General features: G+C 43.1%; 1 long non-coding RNA gene across 1 annotated transcript, besides 2 other annotated features; it reads right to left on the bottom strand.

Moving 5' to 3' along the window:
* Positions 3,802-3,861: an enhancer, noted in NCBI's record as "active region_28704". NCBI's record gives its function as "activates an Ori minimal core promoter by ATAC-STARR-seq in GM12878 lymphoblastoid cells {active_cell/tissue: GM12878}" and the evidence as "EXISTENCE:reporter gene assay evidence [ECO:0000049][PMID:35858748]".
* Positions 3,992-4,551: an enhancer, noted in NCBI's record as "active region_28703". NCBI's record gives its function as "activates an Ori minimal core promoter by ATAC-STARR-seq in GM12878 lymphoblastoid cells {active_cell/tissue: GM12878}" and the evidence as "EXISTENCE:reporter gene assay evidence [ECO:0000049][PMID:35858748]".
* LOC124902230 (uncharacterized) lies at positions 17,408-20,214 on the bottom strand. Its single transcript, XR_007061690.1, has 2 exons — positions 20,071-20,214; positions 17,408-17,680 (listed from the first exon to the last, which is right to left on the bottom strand). It is a non-coding gene; the product is annotated as an uncharacterized LOC124902230 (long non-coding RNA).
* Between the last annotated feature and the right edge of the window lie 3,928 nt (positions 20,215-24,142).

The following is a 24,142-nucleotide window of genomic DNA, read 5'->3' as shown; positions in this document are numbered from 1 at the left end:
GGCGAGGCTTTGAGTCAGGCCTGGCTAGTTGGTGAGGATCACCTGCCTTCCAGGAGGGCTTGGGTTTTACTGCCGTCTTGCCACGTGCCATAGGAGGACATGCTGAACTCTCCCCATGACTTAAGGGCAGGGCTCAGGCTGCCTGGGGAAGGCAGGGAGAGAACCTGAGAGCAATCCAGGCAGCGTCCCTTTCCTGGGGGTGTCATCAGGGCATGTAGCATGGAGGCAGCAGTGCCAGCTCCTGTCCTCAGGCAAAGGGGAACAGGCAGTCTTGGCCTTGGAACTCCCAGTTCCAGACCCACTTCCAGCAGGTGCTGGCTAGTGAGGCCTGTCTAGAAAAGCAGCAGACCAACTTGGCACCAGGCGAAGTTGTGGGAGATGCTCTTCCCCACAGAAAGAGTCAAAGCGTCAGAAAGTAACACCCTGCCATGACCCAGATCCCCCAGCTTCAGGGGCCGAAGAACCCCAAAGATCTTCTCACCCACACTCCTCATGGCACAGGAGAGAAAATGGAGGCACCGAGAGAGGAAAGCGCTTGCCCAAGGTCACACAAAAACTTAGAGCAGGGCTGAAATCCAGTCCCGCTGTCTGATCCAGTTCTTAACCCACAAAATGCTTTCAAAGCGTAGAGTGATACACCTCACTCAGAAGCCCAAAGTCCCATGAGGAGAACATCTCTAGGAGCCACCAGGTGCCCCTAGCAGGATGAAAAATAAGAGCAGTTGCCTTTTTTTTTTTTTTTTTTTTTTTTTTTGAGACAGAGTCTCGTTCCATCACCCAGGCTGGAGGGCAGTGGTGCAAACTCAGTGCAACCTCCACCTCCCTGGTTCAAGTTATTCTCATGCCTCAGCCTCCCAAGTAGCTGGGATTACAGGCGTGCACCACCACACCCAGCTAATTTTTGTGTGTGTGTGTATTTTTGCAATATAAATGTGGGTTTTCACCATGTTGGCCAGGTTGGTCTCAAACTCCTGACCTTAAGTGATCTGCCTGGCTTGGCCTCCCAAAGTGCTGGGATTACAGGAATGAGCCCCTGCACCTGGCCAAGGGCAGCTGCCCTTTACAGAGCCACATTACACAAAGCACTTATGCATCACCTTTTTACTTTCAAAAATCCTATAAGGTAGTGCAATTACTATCATCAGCTTATGTGAAAATAAACCCAAAAGCCCTACTGGAGCCTCGCTAGCCATTCCTTGTTCTTGTTTTCCCTTGGCTCTGTCAAAACCAACCAAGGGGCTGGCAAAGCTGGCCATTTCTAGAAGATCCTTGGAGCAGGAGGTAAAAGGGCTATAAACAGAATTCCAGGTAACCAAAGTCTAGAGGGCCAGAATATGGACTCTGCAAAACACCATGTCCAAACACATAAGGGGAACGGTCTGTAAATGTCCAACACTCTCCCTACAAGTGGCTCACTCCGTGACCAGCACAGGGCCAGGTGGATTGATCTGAACAGGAGCCTCCCAGAGAAGCAGGCCCACGGTAACCCTGCCCCTCAATTTCTGTTCCATCTCACTGCTGACTCCTCCTCCTTCTCCTCCTCCTCCTGCCCCTCCACTCTCCTCCTGACAGCCAGTTGCGCATCTATTCAAAGAAGCCACAATCAGAGCCCCTCCAGTCTTTCTGCCTGCCAACCCAGCAACACCCTGTGAGGTGTGTGCCTCCCTGTCACTCAGCCTCAGCTGATGGACAAATGGGAGTACATCTGGAAGAGGTGGCCCAATAGGGAGGGTCCTGGACTTCAAGTCCCTGGAAAAGCAGCTGAGAAGCTTGAAGGCACTGGGGTCATTCAGCCTGAGAAGAAACTCAGGGGAATGCTGTCAATATCACCACATCCCTGGAGGGTTGTTAGGAGTGGAGAGGGCAGATTCACCCTGTGGGGCTCCAGAGGACAGAGGTAGGAGGGGGCAGGGTGGACACGACGGGCAGATTTTAATTCAAAATAAGGAAAGCTCCTTCTTGGGCAGAAGTATCCCAAGACAGCCCAGGATACGTCAGAACAAATGATGAGTACATTATGCTCAGGGCCAGGAAGCTCAGACTGGAGCCCCAACTCCTACCTGTGCCATATTGAGCAAGTTACTCAGTGTTCGTCATCCTACAATGGATAGAGTGATGTGTTTCTCACATATTCACTTGGAACTCCTTATAGCACCTCCAAAGGCAAACCTGAAATTCTGCAAAAGAAAAGAGTGCAAAGACCTCAGCTCCCACTTGTCCCAGTTTCAACCTTACCCATGTACAGAGATCATGATCTCAGCCATGGTAGTCACAAACAGAGCTTACAAGGGCAGCGGGTACAGAGAAAAGAGTTCTGGTCAGGAGCCAGACTAGCCTTGGCTCAAGTCCCAGCTCTGCCTCTTACCATCTTCATCTTTATCAAGATACCTTGCCTCTCTGAGCCTCAGTTTTCTTGTCTGTAAAATGAATCTGCAAGCCCCTGCCCAACCTCCTCATAGGGTTGTGACAAGGATCAAATGAGGGAGAAGAACAAGCACCTTGGAGGCCATAAGCACTTTTACCTTATCCTTATGGCAAGGATATGCTGAGGATTTCCAACTGTAATTATTTTTACCCCAGGAAGAACATGAGTAACACAATTGCATTCCATAACAAAGGTCTATTCAACAAATGTTCACTGGACACTTACTGTGAGCCAAAAACTGTGCCAGATTCTAGAGGTGCAAGCATATATAAGACAAAATTCTGTGTCCTCTGAGACTCACTGGAAAGACAACCAGTAAATTATTCAGTAAAGCAGAATGTGGTACACAGAGGTGTGTACAAGTTACAGTGAAAGCACAGAGGAGAGTGACTAGGGCTGGAGGAGGCAAGGATGGGGGCATCAAAGGAGGCAGCATTCAAAGAGAGTCTATAAGAATGAAGAGGAACATTTACAAACCTAATAATAGACTGTTGAAATGCATGAGCCAAAATGGACACAATGGAAGGGAGAAATAATACAATAACAGTCAGAAACTTCAATATCCCACTCTCAGTAATGGATAGAACAACCAGACAGAAAACAGGTGAGGAACTAAAGGGCTTGAACAACCCAAGAAAACAACTAGATCTAACAGACATACGCAGACCACTCCACTCAACAACAGAATACACATTCTTCTTATGCACACATGGGACATTCTCCAGGATAGACCATATGTTAGGCCACAAATTAAGTCACAATAGCCAACAGAGATGGAATCAACCAGAGTGTCCATCAATGGATGGATACATAAACAAAATGTGGTATTTACATTCAATGGAATGTTATTAAGCTTTAAAAAAGGAAGGAAGTTCTGACATGCAACAGCATGGATGAACTTCTAAGACTTGCTAAGTGAAAAAGTTACAAAAAGATAAATACTGTAAGATTCCACTCATACAAGTAACTTAAGGTAGTCAAATTCATAGAGACAGAAAGTAGAATGGTAGTTGCCATGGGGTGGGGAGGGATGGAGGACTAGGGGGTTATTGCTTAGGGGGTACGGAGCTGTAGTTTTGAAAGATAAGTTCTGTGGATGGATAGTGGTGAAGGTTGCACAGCGATCTGAATGTACTTAACGCCACTGGACTGAACACTCAAAAATGATTCAAATGTTAAATTTGATGTTACGTTAATTTTACCACAATTTTTTTAAATAAATACTTTTTTAAAGAAAAGAATGAGGAGAGAGTGTTCCAAGCAGTCCAGATTGGGAAGAAAAATCTAGACAAGAGAAACAGCTTATGCAAAAGCACAGAGATACAAAAGTGACTAGTGTTCTCTGGAAACAACAAAGGCATCCCCATTGTGTAAGACACACAGCGTGGCCACAGTGGGCTGGAAAAGTTCCCTGAATACCCTGCTAGGAAGTTTGGATGCCACTCTGTGGGCTCTAGGGGAATGGCATGGTCACAGCTGTGGCTTAGAACAATCCAACTAGGAGGAGAATGGGGAGGGTGGGTGGCACGAGGAGACACACAGAGCACGATACCACCTCTAGACAGACGTGAAGAGGGAAACCGCCTTCCAGACGGCCCAGCCAACCAGCCCTGTGGCCACCATCCCAGTGCTGCGGTGAGTGACTCAAGCTACTTGCCTCGAGGGGCGATCCACTGAAGGCAAGAGGGATTCCCCTGGAAACTTTGATTCTGCTGAGAGAGAAAGACTGAAACCAAAAGCAGGTGCGTTGGTGGGGCCTTGGGCGTGAAGTGCCTTTCTGCCGTGTCATTCTCCCCACACGGGGCCATCTGTTTGGGTGAGCCCCAAAGCCGATGGGGCCTTGTCTCCCCTGCAGGCCCACCCTGTGGTTTTCACCAACTGCAGGGAGGCAAGGTGGCTGCTCGAATGTGCATCCAGGCAGGAGGAGGGGGTGAGGGCCTCTGGAAAGTCTCTGAATCAAGTAAATGTGGGAAATCCCAGCTCTGTGACTTAGAAACAGGTGACCTTGGGCACTCCCAGGTCCCTATGTGGGCCTCAGTTTGCCTTTCTTAATGTGAGGAGCGTACGAATAGAGTTATAGGCTTAACTCCTAACAAGAAGTTAGACCTATTCTCCTGTTGCTTTGCCCCTCCTGTAAAAGGAGTTAGACCTACAACTCTGTTGGTACGCCCCTCCTCTGTGAAATGGAGGAGTTAGACCTGTAACTCTGTTAGTATGCCCCTGACATTAAGAAAGGCAAGAGGTTATAGACATTAATTACTACACTCATTTAAGTAATTAGACAAGCAAGCATATACACACAGACACATACAGAGACACAAACAGACACACAAGCACACACACAGAGACCACAGAGAGTCCAGAGGACAGGTGATATGGTTTGGATCTGTGTCACCACCCAAATCTCATGTCAAATGATAATCCCCAGTGTTGGAGGTGGGGCCTGGTGGGAGGTGATTGGGTCATGGAGGTGGATGCTACATGAATGGTTAATTAGCACCATGCTCATGGTGCTGTTCTCGTGATAGAGTTCTCACAAGATTTGGTTGTTTGAAAGCGTGCAGCACCTCCCTCCTCTCTCTCTCAGTCCTGCTCCTGCCATGTAAGATGCTTACTCCCACTTTGCCTTCCTCCATGAGTAAAAGCTCCCTGAGGCCCCCCAGAAGCAGATGCTGCCATGCTTCCTGTACAGCCTACAGAACCATTAGCCCATTAAACCTTTTTTCTTATAAATTACCCAGTCTCAGGTATTTCTTTTTTTGTTTGTTTGTTTTGTTTTGTTTGTTTGTTTTTTGAGACAGAGTCTCGCTCTGTCTCCCAAGCTGGAGTGCAGTGGTGCAATCTTGGCTCACTGCAAGCTCCGCCTCCTGGGTTCACACCATTCTCCTGCCTCAGCCTCCTGAGTAGCTGGGACTACAGGCGCCCATCACTACGCCCGGCTAATTTTTTGTATTTTTAGTAGAGATGGGGTTTCACCGTATCAGCCAGGATGGTCTTGATCTCCTGACCTCGTGATCTGCCTGCCTTGGCCTCCCAAAGTGCTGTGATTACAGGCATGAGCCACCACGCCAGGCAGGTATTTCTTTATAGCAGTACAAGAACAGACTAATACAACAGGCAAAGCATTCTCTTTTTTAAAATTGTTATTTTAGGTTCGGGGTATATGTGCAAGTTTGGTATATAGGTAAATTGCGTGCCACGGGGTTTTGTGCACAAATTATTTCATCACCCAGGTAATAAGCATAGTTTTCTGATCCTCATCCTCCTCCCACCCTCCACTCTCCGTCGCCTTGACTCTTAATAGTGGTCTATTTCATCTCACTTTGGCAACCTTAAGTGAGTATCTCCTCTGTGGGCTCCCTTCTCTCTCTCCCTCTTTCCAGCTCCCTTGGTTATTAACCCTTCTGCCTGCTTTCCGGGGTCCATATTTTCTTCCTCTTAGGAGTAGAGGGAGCACTCCAAGGGGCTTTGCAAACTGTGGATGGAAGGAGGAAAATGAAGACAAATCCTTCCCCACCTAACCTCAGGGTAAAAAAAAAAAAAAATCTACCAAAAAAACACACATCTTTGAGTAAAATTAGCTGCCTTTTAGCTAAAACTGGTGTGCTATTCTACTCAAAGCATCACTTGGTTTTTCCAAAGGAAGCGAGCCAAGTACAAAAATATGTATCCTCAAAGAAGAATTTGTTGAAAATTAGATTGTCAAAAGTCAATTTGCCAGAAATGTCAATTTGCCAAACGATTCACTGCATCACTGAGAATGTTTTTAACTTGATGTTGTAGTTTCACCACCATGAAAGCAAAATCACTCATGTCCTAGGTGGGCAGGCTAGCCACAAGATAATGCAGCCCTGCCATCATCACCCATTGCATTAAAGAACTGCCCTGGGGGTTGTCTTCATTACAGCCAATATCTATAATCCAGGTTTGGGATTGACAAACTTTTTTTTTGGCGGGGGGGATGGAGTCTTGCTCTGTTGCCCAGGCTGGAGTACAGTGGTATGATCTCGGCTCACTGCAACTTCTGCCTCCCGGGTTCAAGTGATTCTCCTGCCTCAGCCTCCCAAGTAGTTGAGATTACAGGCGCCCGCAACCATGCCCATGCTAATTTTTGTATTTTTAGCAGCGACTGGGTTCCACCATGTTGGTCAGGCTGGTCTTGAACTCCTGACCTCGTGATCTGCCCACCTCAGCCTCCCAAAGTGCTGGGATGACAGGCGTGAGCCACCATGCCCAGCCGACAAACTTTTTTTTATAAAGGATCAGATAGTAAATGTCTTAAGTTTTTCAGATCATACTGCCTCTGCCACAACTGCTCAACTCTCAACTCTGGCACTGTAGCAGGAAAGCAGTCCTACACCATATGAGCATGAATGAACATGGCTCGGTTCCAATAAAACTTTACTTACAAAAACAGACAGTGGCTGCCATTTGGTTCACAGACCATAGTTTATCGACCCCTAATTTAGACTAACACATTTGCCAATACTAATTTGAGAAGAAATAGAAGACCCTATTAGTGTTATACCTGAAGAAGAACTTGAATTAATAGTTTTAAATTTTTCTCACAGAGAAATTATAGGCCCCAGATGGTTTTTACAGGTGGATCCTCTAAACTTTAATAAAACAGATAATTCTAGTTATATATAAATTCTTCCATGCAAGAAATAAAAATGAAATTCTTTAACTTGTTTTGTAAAGCTAATATAGTGTAGATAACACAACCAGCCAAGGATGATATGAGGGGAAAATATACAAACCCCCACCTCAAAAACATACACAAACATAAGAATTTAAAAATAGATACATAGAAAAAAAAAAACAGCCAGAAAATGGACATAGTTAAGCAGTGTATAGAAAGAAATACACCATGATTAAGGAAAAGAGACAGGATAATCCTCTGTCTTTTCTTTTCCATAAAAAATGGGATGCTTTAACACTAGGAATCTATTGATGTAACTAAGAAATTAAAGGGAGAAAATTACATAGTCAATCAATAGATGCAGAAAAAGAAACTTAATGAAGTCAGTCATGAATGGATATTGGTAAATAGTTTTTGCAACATATTTGGCAAACTGGTAATAGCAGGTAACCTTCTTAACCTGATAAGAAGATAGCTACCAAAAAACCTACCACACGTATCATATTTAAAAATGCAAACTTTATGATCTCTTTAAAAATCAAGAATAAGAAAATAACCCTGAATTCAACTCCTATTCAACATTATACTAGAAATAGAAATAAGAAGTTTAGGGATAGAAAGTGAAAAACAAAACTCATTATTTCTAAACAATGTTATCTTCAAAGAAAATCCAAGAGAATATATACAGCATTTAGAACTAGTAAGAGTAATATCATATCATATCATTGTAGTAATATTATACAATAAAATAGTATATAGCAGAAAAAATGAATGAACTCTATCTGTATTATTAATATGGTTAATAGTAATGTAGTTAAATCTCAGGGTTAGGTAGAAAAAAAGAAAATTGAAAAAGGATACGAGCAGTATAATGCTGCTTATGAAATTTCTTTAAGACACAATACAATACCATATATTTTTGTTTACTCTTGTAAAAACACAGAAATAATTGGGACAGAGAAGTTGCTTTCTAACTTGAGAATTACTTCTGGAAAGACAGAGAGGGGAATGGAGATGCATTTCGGCTTCACCTTTATCTGTAGTTTTACTTTCTTTCCAAAAGGATCTAAGGCAACTGTTAACATTTCTTCAATCTGGTGGTGGGTATATTTGTCCATATGACATTATTCTTCTTAATTTTCTGTAAGCTTGAAATCTTTCCTAATTAAAACCACTTTTAATAGAAAAGAAAAGGAGCCATGATGAAAACTGTCAGGTCTTTGAGTAGGTTCTGGCTGCTCCTGTGAGTACAGGAAAACACTGAGGTCATCCTGCCCACACTAGGGTGACACAAGCCTCTAGACCCTGAATTCTTGAGATCACTGTGGCTTCCTGCTCTGCCACCCCACTGAGAGCTACCCTACTCTGCAGGTTCCTTGGAAGGATAAGTTTCTCTTGGGGCAGTGGACACTGTTAGAAATGAAGGCAGTCCATTCCATAGACCCCTTTCCATGGACAGGGGTCACTGTTAGAAATGAAGGCAGCTCATTCCATGGACCCCTTTCCATGGGCAGGGGTCACTGTTAGAAATGAAGGCAGCCCATTCCATAGACCCCTTTCCATGGACAGGGGTCACTGTTAGAAATGAAGGCAGCTCATTCCATGGACCCCTTTCTATGGGCAGGGGTCACTGTTAGAAATGAAGGCATTCCATTCCATAGACCCCTTTCCATGGGCAGGGGTCACTGTTAGAAATGAAGGCAGCTCATTCCATGGACCCCTTTCTATGGGCAGGGGTCACTGTTAGAAATGAAGACAGTCCATTCCACAGACCCTTTTCATGGGCAGGGGTCACTCTTAGAAATGAAGGCAGTCCATTCCACAGACCCTTTTCATGGGCAGAGGTCACTCTTAGAAATGAAGGCAGTCCATTCCATAGACCCCTTCCGTGGGCAGGGGTCACTCTTAGAAATGAAGGCAGTCCATTCCATAGACCCCTTCCGTGGGCAGGGGTCACTCTTAGAAATGAAGGCAGTCCATTCCATAGACCCCTTCTGTGGGCAGGGCTCACTCTTAGAAATGAAGGCAGTCCATTCCATAGACCCTTTCCATGGGCAGGGGTCACTATTAGAAATGAAGTCAGTTCATTCCATGCATGACCCCATCCTATGAACGTGATCTTCCATTTCCCATCTGGTATCATCTGAAGCTCAGTTTAAAATTATCTTCTATAAAACTGTCATAAGAAATTTAAGACAAACAGATTTGTTTATCCTTGGGCTGAACTGCAGGCACATATAATCAAGATGGGCATTGTCCTCTTAATCCCTTCATTTGAAGGCCAAGAAGAGTTATATCTTTAGGAGAAATTATGTTCCTCTTTGACTTCTACTATGGCTCAAGCCTTCAAACCTTCAACTACCTTTTCTAAAATACTATGAATTTGAGGCTGAGGCAGTGAAAGTACACAATGAGCTCAGCACTCGTTTTTGTAGCCCAAAGTAAGAATATGCTCAAAGAATCATGGGAACATGCCAGAAAGTCACAGGAGCCAGCATAAAGGGGTTTCCAAGTGATCATCAAAACCCATGGAATAAATCAGGTTCCATGAGACTCTAGTCACATAAATTAATAAATGAAAACATAAATAGGTGGAAGAGAGAGAAAGTTCTCCTTTGTAATAGAATGATGACTACTGAATATCAAAAGAATGAAAAAAACAAATACCACAGAATTGGAATATCAAGGAAAAGAGCTGTGAAAGCATGGAAGGCAGAGAGTGATGGGACCCGGTGTGCATGCTGATTGAGGAACAAATATATATCCCTGCTCACAGAAAAAGAGCCTACTTTCCCAACTCTGCCTCTTCTTCCCACCTCCTGAAAAGCCCATTTTCTTATTGACTCCTCTGAGATTCAAAAGGCTCTTCTCTCTTAATGGTGTTTTCACTTGCCCCCAAATACCCAAAGAGTAGTACCAGTGTACCCCAATGTAAACAAAAAATCAATGGCTGGACCTCCCCTTCAGGGAGAGGAAGGAACATGGAAATGTGGGCTTCATATTTACCTAGACCGAGAAATGGAAACGGGCTTCGTGACTTTCTTGATGTGTGACCTTGAAAAGCCCACATTCTTTATGCTCCGATTATCTCATCTGTACAACTGGGATTAAAATTATTTCTCTACTTCACTGAATGGCGATCCAATTATTCACCATGTGACAAGGTGCCTGTAAACCACAATGACAGCAGACACGGAAGGTGTTATAGAATTAACAGAGATTCTGAAGAAAGGGCTGGGGAGAGACAGTGTGGTCCACCTGCCCGCAGGCCAAGGTCAAAATCATTATTCTTGACATTTGAATAATACACTGAACCCTTTTGAAAAATAAAAGTCAGACAGCAAGCACTGACTTAAATTACTTTTATTATAATGCTTCTTCTATATGAAGAAACATAGAGCTAGGTTTTTTTTATTTTTTATTTTTTTTTAGAAATAAACTTTTTTTTATTATTATACTTTAAGTTTTAGGGTACATATGCACAATGTGCAGGTTAGTTACATATGTATACATGTGCCATGCTGGTGTGCTGCACCCATTAACTTGTCATTTACATTAGGTATATCACCTAATGCTATCCCTCCCTCCTCCCCCCACCCCACAACAGTCCCCAGAGTGTGATGTTCCCCTTCCTGTGTCCATGTGTTCTCATTGGTCAATTCCCACCTATGAGTGAGAATATGCGGTGTTTGGTTTTTTGTTCTTGCGATAGTTTACTGAGAATGATGATTTCCAATTTCATCCATGTCCCTACAAAGGACATGAACTCATCATTTTTTATGGCTGCATAGTATTCCATGGTGTATATGTGCCACATTTTCTTAATCCAGTCTATCATTGTTGGACATTTGGGTTGGTTCCAAGTCTTTGCTATTGTGAATAGTGACGCAATAAACATACGTGTGCATGTGTCTTTATAGCAGCATGATTTATAGTCCTTTGGGTATATACCCAGTAATGGGATGGCTGGGTCAAATGGTATTTCTAGTTCTAGATCCCTGAGGAATCGCCACACTGACTTCCACAAAGGTTGAACTAGTTTACAGTCCCACCAACAGTGTAAAAGTGTTCCTATTTCTCCACATCCTCTCCAGCACCTGTTGTTTCCTGACTTTTTAATGATTGCCATTCTAACTGGTGTGAGATGGTGTCTCATTGTGGTTTTGATTTGCATTTCTCTGATGGCCAGTGATGGTGAGCATTTTTTCATGTGTTTTTTGGCTGCACAAATGTCTTCTTTTGAGAAGTGTCTGTTCATGTCCTTTGCCCACTTTTTGATGGGGTTGAGAGCTAGGTTTTGACTTCTTATGCTGTGAGAGCATCTTTTAAAGAAGAATGTGAATAATGGCGTCTAGGAACCTCTGGATTGAGGGCCTGAGAAAAACAGTGGAAGTGGAAGAGCAGCCTCTTGAAAGGGAATGTCCAACCTCTTCCTCTTTTTCCTGTTTCCCACAGAAAATTTAACTAGCTGTGTTCAGACCGACATGATGCAAAAAAAAAAAAAAAAGTTCCCATCCTGGCTTACATGGTGAAACCCCGTCTCTACTAAAAATATTTTAAAAATTAGCCGGGCGTAGTGACGGGCGCCTGTAGTCCCAGCTACTTAGGAGGCTGAGGCAGGGGAATGGCGTGAACCCGGGAGGCGGAGCTTGCAGTGAGCGGAGATCACGACACGGCACTCAAGCCTGGGCGACAGAGCGAGACTACGTCTCGAAAAAACAAAAAAAAGTTTTTGATTTTTGAAAAAAATCAACTGTGTGCTTGCTTCTTCAAAAAGAAGACTATACCAGGGCAGAAGATATTCCTATAAATACTTATGATTGACATCTGTAAATATTTATAGTATTAACTTTTTGTGGACACACAGTAGGGTGGGGCGGGGGTACTGGCATCCAGGGGAAGGGTAGATGTTTTCGTTGTTTCTATCCTGTAAGGACTGTCTGATGGCTACAAGTGTTAACGAAAAGCCAAACTGTATTGATCACATTTAAAAGCTCTCTCTCCAGAGTGGGCTATGCCACACTGCAGTATATTTATACAACGGAATACTCTATAGCTATTAAAATGAATAAAACATAGCTACATGGTACAACAGGGGTGAATCTCACAAACAAAGCAAAAAATGCAAGTCACGAAGAAGACATACAGTGTGATTTCATTCATATAAAATTCACAAACAGCTAAGTCCACTCTATCATACTGCGATGCATACATACATCGTAAAATCAAAAAGAAAAGCAAGAAAATGATTCTCACAAAAGGGAGGCTGGTGATGACCTGGGGAGGGGACACTGGGAGGTTAGGGGTGCTTGCAAAGCTCCCTTTCCTGGCCTGAGTGGTGGTTACACAGGGGTTTCCTTAATTATAATGTAATTTGTGTAATTACAATGCATTAAGATGTATTTTTTAAAAACATTTTCTCTTCGTATAGATCACATTACTCAAAAAAACGAGGAAAGCTGAAGCAAATATGACAATATTAACTAATCTCAATACCTGAATATCTGAATTAATTCAATTAATGAATTAATTGAATATCTCAAACTCTGCTGGGTCTATATCATTAATTATTATACTGCTATATGAAAAAAGCCAGGCCAAAAAAAAGATTACATACATTATATATGGAATTTGATATTCCATTTGTATAAATTTCCAGAAAATGCAACCTAACCTAGAGTGGGAGAAAGCAGACCAGTGGGTGCCCGGGGGCAGGGCTTTCAAAGGAGCCCAGGGAAACTGTTGGGGATGATAGATACGTTGATTATAATGATGGTTTTGCAGTGTATACTTTCATTAAAATGTATCAAGTTATACTCTTTAAATATGTGCAGTTTATTCTATGTCAGCTATACATCAACAAAGCAGTTAAAAAAAAACTCCCCTGTGCCTTTTCATATGTTTCTCATAGTCTTCAGTATGCATATACCGCTTTGGAAATGAGGAAGATACTTTTAAATGGTCAGAGAAACCTAAGTACCTTGAAGCTGTCTACCAGAGTTGTATGTATGCTTGTGGTCAGTCATGGGTTTCAATTATGTCAATGTATTTCTGTTCTGCTTTTGATAGAAAAAAGACCTCCACGCTCTTCCCTTCTGTCTTTTCTCCTCTCTCCCCTCTTTCTTTTCCCCTCTTCTCTCTGTCCCTCTCTCTCTCCCTCCCTTCCTTCTTCCCAGTCTCCCTTCCCCTTCTCTCTCCTTCTCCCCTTCTCCTCACTCTATTTCCTTTCTCTCTGTCCCTCTCTCTCCTCCCACCCTTCCTTATCAGTCTATTTCCTTTCTCTGTCTTTCTCTCTTTCTCTTTTTCTTTCTCTATCGCTCTTCTTCCCCCTCCTCTCTCTATCTCCCTCTCTCCTTTTCTCTTTGGTTCTCAGTCTTACTCTCTATCAGAAAACACTTTTCTTCAACTGAGCAGGCAGCTTTGGGAGACATGACAACACTCATAATAATGACAAACAATCATTTCTGTCATTTAATAGCATTTTATAGTTCACAACATGATTTCTCATATCTGTCTTCTGATTCTCACAACAATCCTTGGGTATAGTAACAGGAAAATAAAAAGCAACTGTAACCACTTCTGCCTTATAAGGAGGGTGGTAAATTTCACAACAGTGGGAAAGTAAATTTCTTTACTGCCCCTTCCACTTTCAGAGACTGTTAGTGAAGACAGCAGATGAAGGACAGAGACATTTCTTCTGCTCCAGTTCCCCACCCTTCAGCAATGGCATGGCCTCTTAGTTTTAATTAAAAAATGCATCCCTGGCTATGCAAAGATACATCCAGAGCTGAATTGAGGGTTGCGGCAAACACTGCTGTTGGCCTATCCAAAATATATTCTTTAGGGCCCTGACTTTTTGGTGAGCAGAAATGTGTCCCCACTAAAAAATTAGATTTCTTATCCTCCCTTCTAGATAAGAGCGGTCATGTGACTACCTTCAGGCTAATGGAATGAAGAAACTATTGTGTAGGATTGGAAATGCTCCCTAAAAAAGTGGCTGACTCTGTTGGCAGGTCTCTTGTTGACCTTCCTTCTTCCTCTACCCGAAATATGGATGTAATAACTGGTGCTGCGGCAGCCACTCTGCAGGTATGAGGTGGCCTTGATTGAGGACAGTGAGCTTGTGCTAAGTACACCAAAACAGAAACACAAGAGGAGATAAGGACATTAATGAGATGGTAGCATTACCACATCAGCCCTGGAATGCTTCTGTGGTTTGGATGTGTCCCCTCACCTCAAATTCAGGCGTTGCCAATGTAATATATTTAGTGTGGCTTTTTAGAGGTGGTCAGGTTATGAGGGCTTCTTCTTTGTTAGTGGAATTAAGGTCATTTTTAAAAAGCCTTCACACAGCAGGATTTGGCTAGCTTGCTCTTCACCTCTTCTGCCATATGAGCATGCAGCATCCTGCCCTTATAGTGGATGCAGTCTTACCAGACAATGAAACCGAACCTCCTAGTGCCTTGATATTGGACTTCAACACCTCCAGAACTATGAGGAATACACTTCCATTGTTTATACATTACCAGTCTGTGGTATTCTATCATAGCAGCCCAAAATGGACAAGCCAAATGCCTACTTCAAGACTTCTTTTACCTGAGAGAAAAACCTTAGACCTCATTTAAGGCATATTATACAGGTCTCTGTTGGGCCAAAATATAGTTTCTAAATGATAGAGAATTGATGAGCTTAGTGATTCTGTGTTTTGAAGTGAAGAATGGGGAATTTCTGGGATGAACCCTGCAGAAAGGTTCTCTAAAAAGAAGAAGCAACAAGCAACACAGTGATGCAAACTTCTCTTTCCTCAAGTCTTCTATAATGGCAGCTACATGTGTGTAGATGCCTTGTGTGCTTATGAGGGGAAATCAAGGAAAAGGGGTTGCATTTCCTCAACAATGTGGTGTGAGACCAGAACAGCACATGTGAGAAAGCAAATTGATCCATCCATGAAATTAATTCAAAATAAACAGGATCTCACAGGTAGAGAGGACAAGGAAACATTAACATCTATACCCCCCCTCCGACCCTCCTTCCTACCCAGAAAGTCTAGAGAAGCTTGTCTCACTACACTGGGGTGGCTTTTGAACCAATGCCATTTGCATCCCACAGGACAGGTGCTGAAGTTAGCATTGGGATAAGAGGAAGTCAGCTCATTTTATAATGAGGACCAGAAAGGTGAAGGGACAGCTGGATTGAAAGTCAGCTCTTCCAGCTTCTGCACAGCAAAAGAAACTATCATCAGAGTGAACAGGCAACCTACAGAATGGGAGAAAATTTTTGCAATCTACTCATCTGACAAAGGGCTAATATCCAGAATCTACAAAGAACACAAACAAATTTACAAGAAAAAAACCCGTCAAAAAGTGGGCGAAGGATATGAACAGACACTTCTCAAAAGAAGATATTTATGCAGCCAACGGACACATGAAAAAATGCTCATCATCACTGGCCATCGGAGAAATGCAAATCAAAACCACAATGAGATACCATCTCACACCAGTTAGAATGGCGATCATTAAAAAGTCAGGAAACAACAGGTGCTGGAGAGGATGTGGAGAAATAGGAACACTTTTACACTGTTGGTGGGACTGTAAACTAGTTCAACCATTGTGGAAGACAGTGTGGCAATTCCTCAAGGATCTAGAACTAGAAATACCATTTGGCCCGGCCATCCCATTACTGGGTATATACCCAAAGGATTATAAATCATGCTGCTATAAAGACACATGCACACGTATGTTTACTGCAGCACTATTCACAATAGCAAAGACTTGGAACCAATCCAAATGTCCATCAATGATAGACTGGATTAAGAAAATGTGGCACATATACACCATGGAATACTATGCAGCCATAAAAAAGGATGAGTTCATGTCCTTTGTAGGGACTTGGATGAAGCTGGAAACCATCATTCTCAGCAAACTATCACAAGGACAAAAAACCAAACACCGCATGTTCTCACTCATAAGTGGGAATTGAACAATGAGAACACTTGGACACAGAAAGGGGAACATCACACACCGGGGCCTGTCATGGGGTGAAGGGAGGGGGGAGAGATAGCATTAGGAGATATACCTAAGGTAAATGACGAGTTAATGGGTGCAGCACACCAACATGGCACATGTATACATATGTAACAAACCTGCACATTGTGCACATGTACCCTAGAACTTAAAATATAATAAAAAAATAAATAAATAAAAATAAAAAAAAAGAAAGTCAGCTCTTCCGATGTCAAGGTTTGTCTGTTTTTTATAATGCCTTAGTTACACCTGGACTCAAGAGGAAGAGGGAGAGAGGAAAGAGAACAGCCACCTAAGCAACCAGATAGGCCATGTGGGTCCTGGCGGCCAGTGACAACAGCTATCACTGCCAATTCCCTTGTCACAAGCATGTTTACGTGTACACGTTGCCTCCCTCTCATGGAGGTGTGTATATGAAAGCCAGGTACGTATAGGTATTTTAAGGGCTTCTTATTATGGTAGCAAGAGCATGAAGTGTAAAAATCTAGGCTTGAATCCCAGTTCTGCCTTTATTACGTGTATGACCTTGGGCAAATTCCTTCCCCTCTCTGGGCCTCAATTTTGTCATTACTGTCAGGAAGGAATTGGTCAAATTAAGTTCTAAGGTCCAATCCTGCTCTAACCTTCCAGAAGCTTATATAAAATATATCATTAAAGTAAGATAAAATCTTTTAAGTACTGAGGCCTGGCGTAGTGGCTCACGCCTATAATCCTAGCTATTCAGGAAGCTGAGACATAAGAATTGCTTGAACCGGGGAGGCGGAGATTGCAGTGAACCGAGATCGCACCACTGTGCTCCAGTCTGGTCAACAGAGGGAGACTCTGTCTCAAAAAAAAAAAACAAAAAAAAACTACTGAGCACTGAGAATAAACTCAGCTTTTTATAAATAGATGTGGCATAACAATGAGAAGCCATTATTTCACAAATTGCAGTTCTTAGGGGAACAGTACAGATCTATAACTAGATAAGCCACGAATGCACAGTTGCTTATTCCTATACTATCCTTAAATCACTCCATTACTATTTTGATAAATATTACAGCACATTTCTAGGTCTTCACACCTAGGTACCTCGGTACCTGCTTTAAACCTTGAAAATTTCCTTTAAATAAAAATTAAATAGACATAATAAGAATTTAAAATATGTTCTGGTACTGGCTCAATAGCACAAGAGCATGTGACATGAAGCTATTATAGTAACATCAGCAGGGCCATGGGAGGATTTTATTAGACATATCAGATACTTTATTAAACACCCAGAGCCTTCTCATCATAAATGCAGCCAAGCAGCCCGAGTGATGGGGACGAAGCACCTCATGAGCTCTAATCTCTTTATTCTGGTATTTAATAACTATGAATAAGCAGGGATGGATGGTATCGTTTACAAGTCGTCGTGAACCCAGGAAAAGGGTGATTTCAAAGGTTCCTTTGGGGTCGTTGAGGCCTTGTCTATAAAATGTGCCTGGATCATCTGGGTTTCTCTTCATCCGCAGTACCTCGTCTTCCTCTTCATCCGCAGTACCTCGTCTTCAGCTGCACTAGACTCCCAAGAACTAGGTAAAGGGAGACTCTGGAGTCTGGAACCCTCACCTGCAAGTACGTCACTGAGTTAGCCACAAAAGCCTTCTCCAATTGTTCGATCTTGTTCCCTAGCAGCCTACATTATTGTACCTGAATAGGGAATAGGGAAAGGCTTCCTGTTCCCTGCAACTGGAAAGCAGTTTAAATACATCACACATGTACACAGAGCTCTTCCTTGACATTTACAGAATGGCCCAAAGAAGGCAGGGATTCCCCAAGAGCTGTGAGCTGCCCCATCACAAAAGGTCTGCTAGCAAAGTCAAAGGCTGAATAGAGGATTTCATAATCAAATTGGGAGTGGGGAGGGAAGGTTGGCCTACAGGACTTCGGTTTCCTTTTCAGTCCTAAAAGTTGAAGATTCTATGACTGATGTAGGACCAAATGCTACTCAATGTTGATAATATTTGTTATTTAAGGCTTATGTGCCAGGAAACTGTGCTGAATACTTTACTTCAATTCTTTCATTTAACCCTCACATGAAATAAAAGTCAGCCCCGCATCCCTTCTATACGGTTCTATATCTGATTATCCACAGACCAGGGAACTGAGGTTCAGAGGCAGCTGAGCCACGAGATCACATGGCTCATTAAGTGCCAGGCAGGGTCTAAGGCCCGCCCCAGAGCCTGTGCTTTCTACCTTTCAGGGTTGCTTCACCCACACAGGGGCAGAGTTACACAACTGGATTGTAAAGGGAGCTTGCCAGAGCTCCAGCCTGAAATCATTCCTCTACCTCTGGCCACTGTTTGTCAAGGATCTGCACAGGAAAACAGGAGATCCAGGGGTGACAGAGGTGGGAAAATCAAGAGTTTGTGGGCTGCAGGGAGAAGACTCAAAGGTCAAAGCCTTTTAGCTACTGTACAGTGAACGTGAGAAAGATGCTCAGGAGTAGGTTTATCCCCAAGAGGGACATTCCAGGGAAGGGAAATTCTAACCAAAAGTATTCCTTTTTCCTTTGAGTCACAGGCTTAGTTCCTCTGGGGGACCTTGGCCAGGCAGGATGTTTGAGGCTAGAGCCAGCCCTTGTTCCCCCTCTTCACTGTGCAAATCCCTCCTGGCAGAAAGCCACCCTATCTCAAGCCTGGGCTGCTGTTTTTAGAGCCCTCCCTACAATCCGTTCATGGCCTGAGCCCACCTGAGGAGCCAGAGGTTCTCTGGCTATTCACAGATGCTGAGATTAGAGTCAGTAGAAGGTGGAAGACAAATTTAAGAGGTCTGGCTTTCTCTCTCTCTCAAAAGGCAGCCCCCGGCAGTGTTTGTTCTCAGAGCAGCCCTGGGAAGAAGGATGGTCACTTTCCTTTCTCCCAAAGATAACTGAAGAGAAGTAAGAAAGTACCTGTGCTTGAAAGCAAAATGACAACAATTAATCTCTAAGCACAAGGCCTAGCCATTAAATTCTTTGGAGAAACAACTTTAGGAGTTTAACGACAATCAAGAGCATAAAATTGAATTAAGAGAAATAGTAATTAAATCAGGAAAGAAGTTTTTGCAACGGGGATGGTAAAGGAAATTAAAACCAGTAATGTTGAAAAATGTGGTGGGCAGAGCGGGGGGAGGGGGGGCTTGGTGGAGAAGAGCAAAGAGCCAAGCACAAAGCAAACTAGGTTGGGAGATGCAGAATGTATGGCACTCAGAAAAGGAATTTGGAAATTGTTCTCCTTGAAAGACCAGGTGTCTGGCACTTCCAATTTGTGTCTAAATATGCCCAAATCCTAATGGGGACAAGCTTTCTTTCATGAAAATAGAAGCATCCACTTGGATAAAGTATTTTTTTTAAAAGCTGTAGACTTAAGTAGGGTGACCAACAGTCCTGATTTGTCCAGGACTATCTCTGTTTTAGTACTCAAAGTCCCATGTCCCAGGAAACCCCTCAGCCTGGAGAAAACCCCTCAATCCAGGGCAAACCAGAATGGTCACCCTAACTGGGAGGCAGACAGCCCTGGCTCCCCTCTCTGCTATACAGTCAGTAGCTATAGAACTTTGTGTGAGTCACTCCACCTCTGTGGGCAACAGTATTCTCACCTGTAAAAGAGGTTGTCATGAATTCCTCAAAAGAGTACAGAAGTTGCTATATGTCAAGATATCTAGAACAATGTGAATGTTGGAAAAGCTTTCAGTAAAAGTTTGATAAAGGGGAATTGAAGTTAAGAATATTGATAAAGAAAATAAAATATTAGCAAACACAATCCAGTAGCACATTAAAAATAATACATCACGACTTTTTTGGAGGTCCCCACGACCACCACATATTCAATGATTTTCTAGAATGACTCAGGTTTCAATATATAATCGTCCTCACAGTTAAGGATCATTACAGGGAAATGACATGTATTAGTCTGTTTTCATGCTGCTGATAACGACACACCTGAGACTGGGAAGAAAAAGAAGTTTAATGAACTTACAGTTCTGAATGGCTGGGGAGGCCTCACAATCATGGCGGAAGGCAAGGAGGAATAAGTCACGTCTTACATGGATGGCAGCAGGCAAAGAGAGCTTGTTCAGGGAAACTCCTGTTTTTAAAACCATCAGATTTCATGAGACTCATTCACTATCATGAGAACAGTGCAGGAAAGACCTGCCCCCATAATTCAATCACCTCCCACTGGGTTCCTCCCATGACACACAGGAATTGTGGGAGTTACAATTCAAGATAAAATTTGGGTGGGGACACAGCCAAACCATATCAGGACACAACAGAATCACCAGAGGAAAAAGACATGGGTGGAATGGAGAAATCCATGCACAGTCTTCCTATATTCTCTCCCTTCTGTAAGGAACACTGCAAGCAAGTTCCTTTCTCTAGCAACAATCAATGCAATAATGTTTCTGCCAGGAAGCCTGTTAGAGACTCAGCACCCAAGGTTTTTTTGTTGGTGGCTGGCCACATGGGCCTCTTCTGCCTGGCAACTACCAAAATTCCAGACTCTCAGAGGAATTACCTTCCTCAGAAGGAAAGCTGGTGTACTGGATAAACCACATTGTCAATCAGCCCAATCAGCCTTATCAGTTAGGGAATGATTCAAATGCCAAGTTTTCAGACACCAGCCAAGGTCCAACCTTGCAAACAGAACATTCTAGAAATAGCAGGGTCTGGCTGGCTATGATAACTCTTTTCAGCACAATGACCAAGTGGAGTTCATTTCAGGAATGAAAGAATACACATAAGTGATCACTAGAATCTGGCTCCCTAAGCTGCTATGTGTAACAGCAAATCCCAGCTGGCTGTGCCTTCACTGGTCCAAGTTCTATACATGGTGATGTGAATGCCATCAGCTCTGCTAAGCAAACTGGTCACTACCAGATTCCCTGCTAAAAATTTACCATCAGCCAAGGTCTTCTTGGCTTCTCAAATCAGAACACTGGATTTTTCTCAGTTCACCTGGAGATGAACAACTAAAGATGACTAGATCCAGACCAATCTAAACAGAAACAACGCTTGCCTCATGCATAAAGAGGCCGACTTTTTATTTACAATGGAGGATATATCCTTCTAGTGAGCCAAAATGCTTGTGTTTCAAATGTGGGGTACCACCTTTCTCAAGAGTAAGATATCTGGAAAGCATAATCAGTCATCAGAAAATTGCTTTAAGCCAGGCATGGTGGTTCACACCTCTAATCCCAGAACTTTGGGAGGCCAAGGCAGGGGGATCACTTGAGGCCAGGAATTTGAGATCCTACCTCTACAAAAAACAAAAAAAAGTTAGCCAGGCATGGTGTTCATGCCTGTAGCCCCACCTACTCAGGAGGCTGAGGCAGGAGGATTGCTTGAGCTCAGGCAGCATGTCTTCTGATATAGCTTGGATATCTATATAGTATCCCTGCCCAAATCTCATACTGAAATGCAATCCCCAATGTTGGAGGTGGAACCTGGTGAGAGGTGATTAGAGTATGGGGGTGGTTTCTCACAATGCTATAAAGAAATACCTGAGACTGGCTAATTTGTAAAAAAAAAAAAAAAAAAACAAACAAACAAAAAAACAGTTTAATTCACTCACAGTTCCACGGCTGTACAGGAAGCATGGCCGGAGAGGCCTCAGGAAACTTAGAATCATGGCAGAAGGCAAAGGGGAAGCAGGTACTTCTTACATGGCCCGAGCAGAAGGAAGAGAGAGGCAGGGAGGTGCCATACACTTTTAAACAACCAGATCTCACAATAATTTACTACCACAAGAACACCAAAGGGGAAATCTGCCCCCAGGATCTAATCACCTCCCACCAGGCCCCACTTCCAACACTGGGGGTTACAATTTGACATGAGATTTGGGCAGGGACACAGACCCAAACCATATCACACAGTCTCAGGTATTTCTTTATAGCAGTGCGAGAACAGCCTAATACATCCTCTATAAAAAGAGGCACTGCTATGCAAAAAAGAACAGAATGAAGGGCTCTGTGGTTTCTCAGGGCCTTCCAGCTCTACAGCTGTGACTGTGCATCCCAGCAGGTGCTAGCACACACACGAAAAGGCGTACTTCCCCAGACACAGTGCAGACAACGCAAAACAAATAGTACCCTGGTTACAACTTCAAAGAAGAGAAAGGGGGACAAATTTAACACACCTGTTTGGGTGATGGGCCTAGAATAAAGTATATGCCCAGTGACCCTGGCCCCACATTGTGATTTCTGCTTTGGGCTCCTGCTTTAGGGAGTGGAGACTCCCAGTTGAGTGATCTCAAAATCTGCTATGTAGCAGCTGCAGATTCCTTCCAGGTGCCCCTGATGCATGTTAAAGTTTGGGAACCACTCATCTAAGCAGCAAGTTGCTCTATATTCTACAACCCAGACCAATTTAGATAGATCCCTAGAAGAATGAGCATGTTTTCTTACTGGCAACTGTATTATTGAGTAGAACAGGAAAGACAATAGAGCACGCAACTACGTGATTCATTATCTACGATGCGTGTGACCAGAGTCAATGGGAAGAAAAATGAGTATGCATGTTTGCAGGACTAATTTAATCTTTATATATGTAATTCAAATTCTTCCCCTCATGTCTTCATTTGCTTTCTGAGGCATAAACTTCTAGACCTTTCCTTAAAATGGAGCAATCCAGACTTTGTATGACTATACCTTTGATTCCAATTTGGTGCATTTGCATGTTTTATCTTATTTTAATGCCTTCAGCATGGGAAAGAGACCCAGTTGTCAGAGTGACCAGGAATAGCATTTCAACAGTTTAGCCCTTCTCAAACCTTAACCCTACTTGGTCAATTTCACTGTGTTCCAGGCTCACCTAACATTTGTGGTCACAAAAATGCAAAACACTGCAGTTCTGCTAGCTGCTTCTCCCTATTTTGTCTCTATAAAGTCTCATGAACTTGACTTTCTCCTAAAGTTGCTAACATAATTGATTTTATTTTTACTAGCTAGTCTTGCTGTCTTCACTCCTTCCCCTTTGATTAACAATGCCCACTATTCAAAGCCTACCACTTAGTTTACCTACTTCCAGAGCCTACCCTCTAGAGACGTCAACAGGCTTATGCACAGGCTCAAAATTGGGTTCATAGTGCAGTACTGGGAAGAAGCCCTGATCTGGAAACAGAAAAGACTGGTTCTGGCCTCTGTTCTGCTGCAAACCTGCTGCACAATCTCAGGCAAGTCCCTTCCCCTCTCTGGGCCTGTCTCCTCTGTCATACAATGGAGAAAACCCAGTGAACTCGCAGCCCTTCCAGCTAGGGCATCTCAGGATTCTCTGCTTTTCCTCTGTTGGACAAGCGATCACACAGTATGGATTTCCTGGGGACAGTGCCAGTTTTGCAATCCCTGGCACCACAGCCCATACACCATGAGCATACTAGTTCTTAAACTGTGGTCCTGACTATTTGATTTCACCAATGGCAAGGGGGTTTGAGAGGGCTTCCTACTGGTTTTTCCATAATCACATAGCCATTTCTAATTTGTAGCCCCAGATAGGAATAGGATCCTAGTATACAAATGCCCAGTCCATTTAAGCTAATGACCTTGCCAGGTCATTTCTAAAACCCCAATAAAAGGGCATGGCACACAGTGCCCAGTAAATGTCTGCTGATGCCTAAACACTATGCTTTCTCTATAACTGCAAGAGCTCCATAGAATGAACAAAGCTCAGAAGGACTGAAATACAAAAACCAATTCCTTCTGCAGAATCTAAAACCTCAAACTAAAGCTATTTAAGGCTTGAATTACATCAAACAATAGTGGGGCATATTCTTGGGACTGTTATTTTTAAAGGCACTACCTTTCAAGCTCTATTGTTGGGATATCCTTCCCTCACCCCAAATACTTAAGATTCCCATCTACGTAACTCTAGTAGGTCAGTCAAAGATCTGCAGTGAAATCCCAGCTCTTCCACTTATCAGCTGAGTGGCTTAAGCTTCAGTTTCCTCCTGTGTAAAATGGGGCAAAGAGCAAACTCCTCATTAGATTGCTTATTAAATAAAAAAACCGTATCTCTAAAATTGTTGCAAATGCGCACTTGTTAACTGTTAGTCAAGG

This window comes from Homo sapiens, chromosome 9, assembly GCF_000001405.40.
Source record: "Homo sapiens chromosome 9, GRCh38.p14 Primary Assembly".
NCBI classification, from domain to species: domain Eukaryota; kingdom Metazoa; phylum Chordata; class Mammalia; order Primates; family Hominidae; genus Homo; species Homo sapiens.
This window is presented reverse-complemented; position numbering and strand designations above follow the sequence as displayed.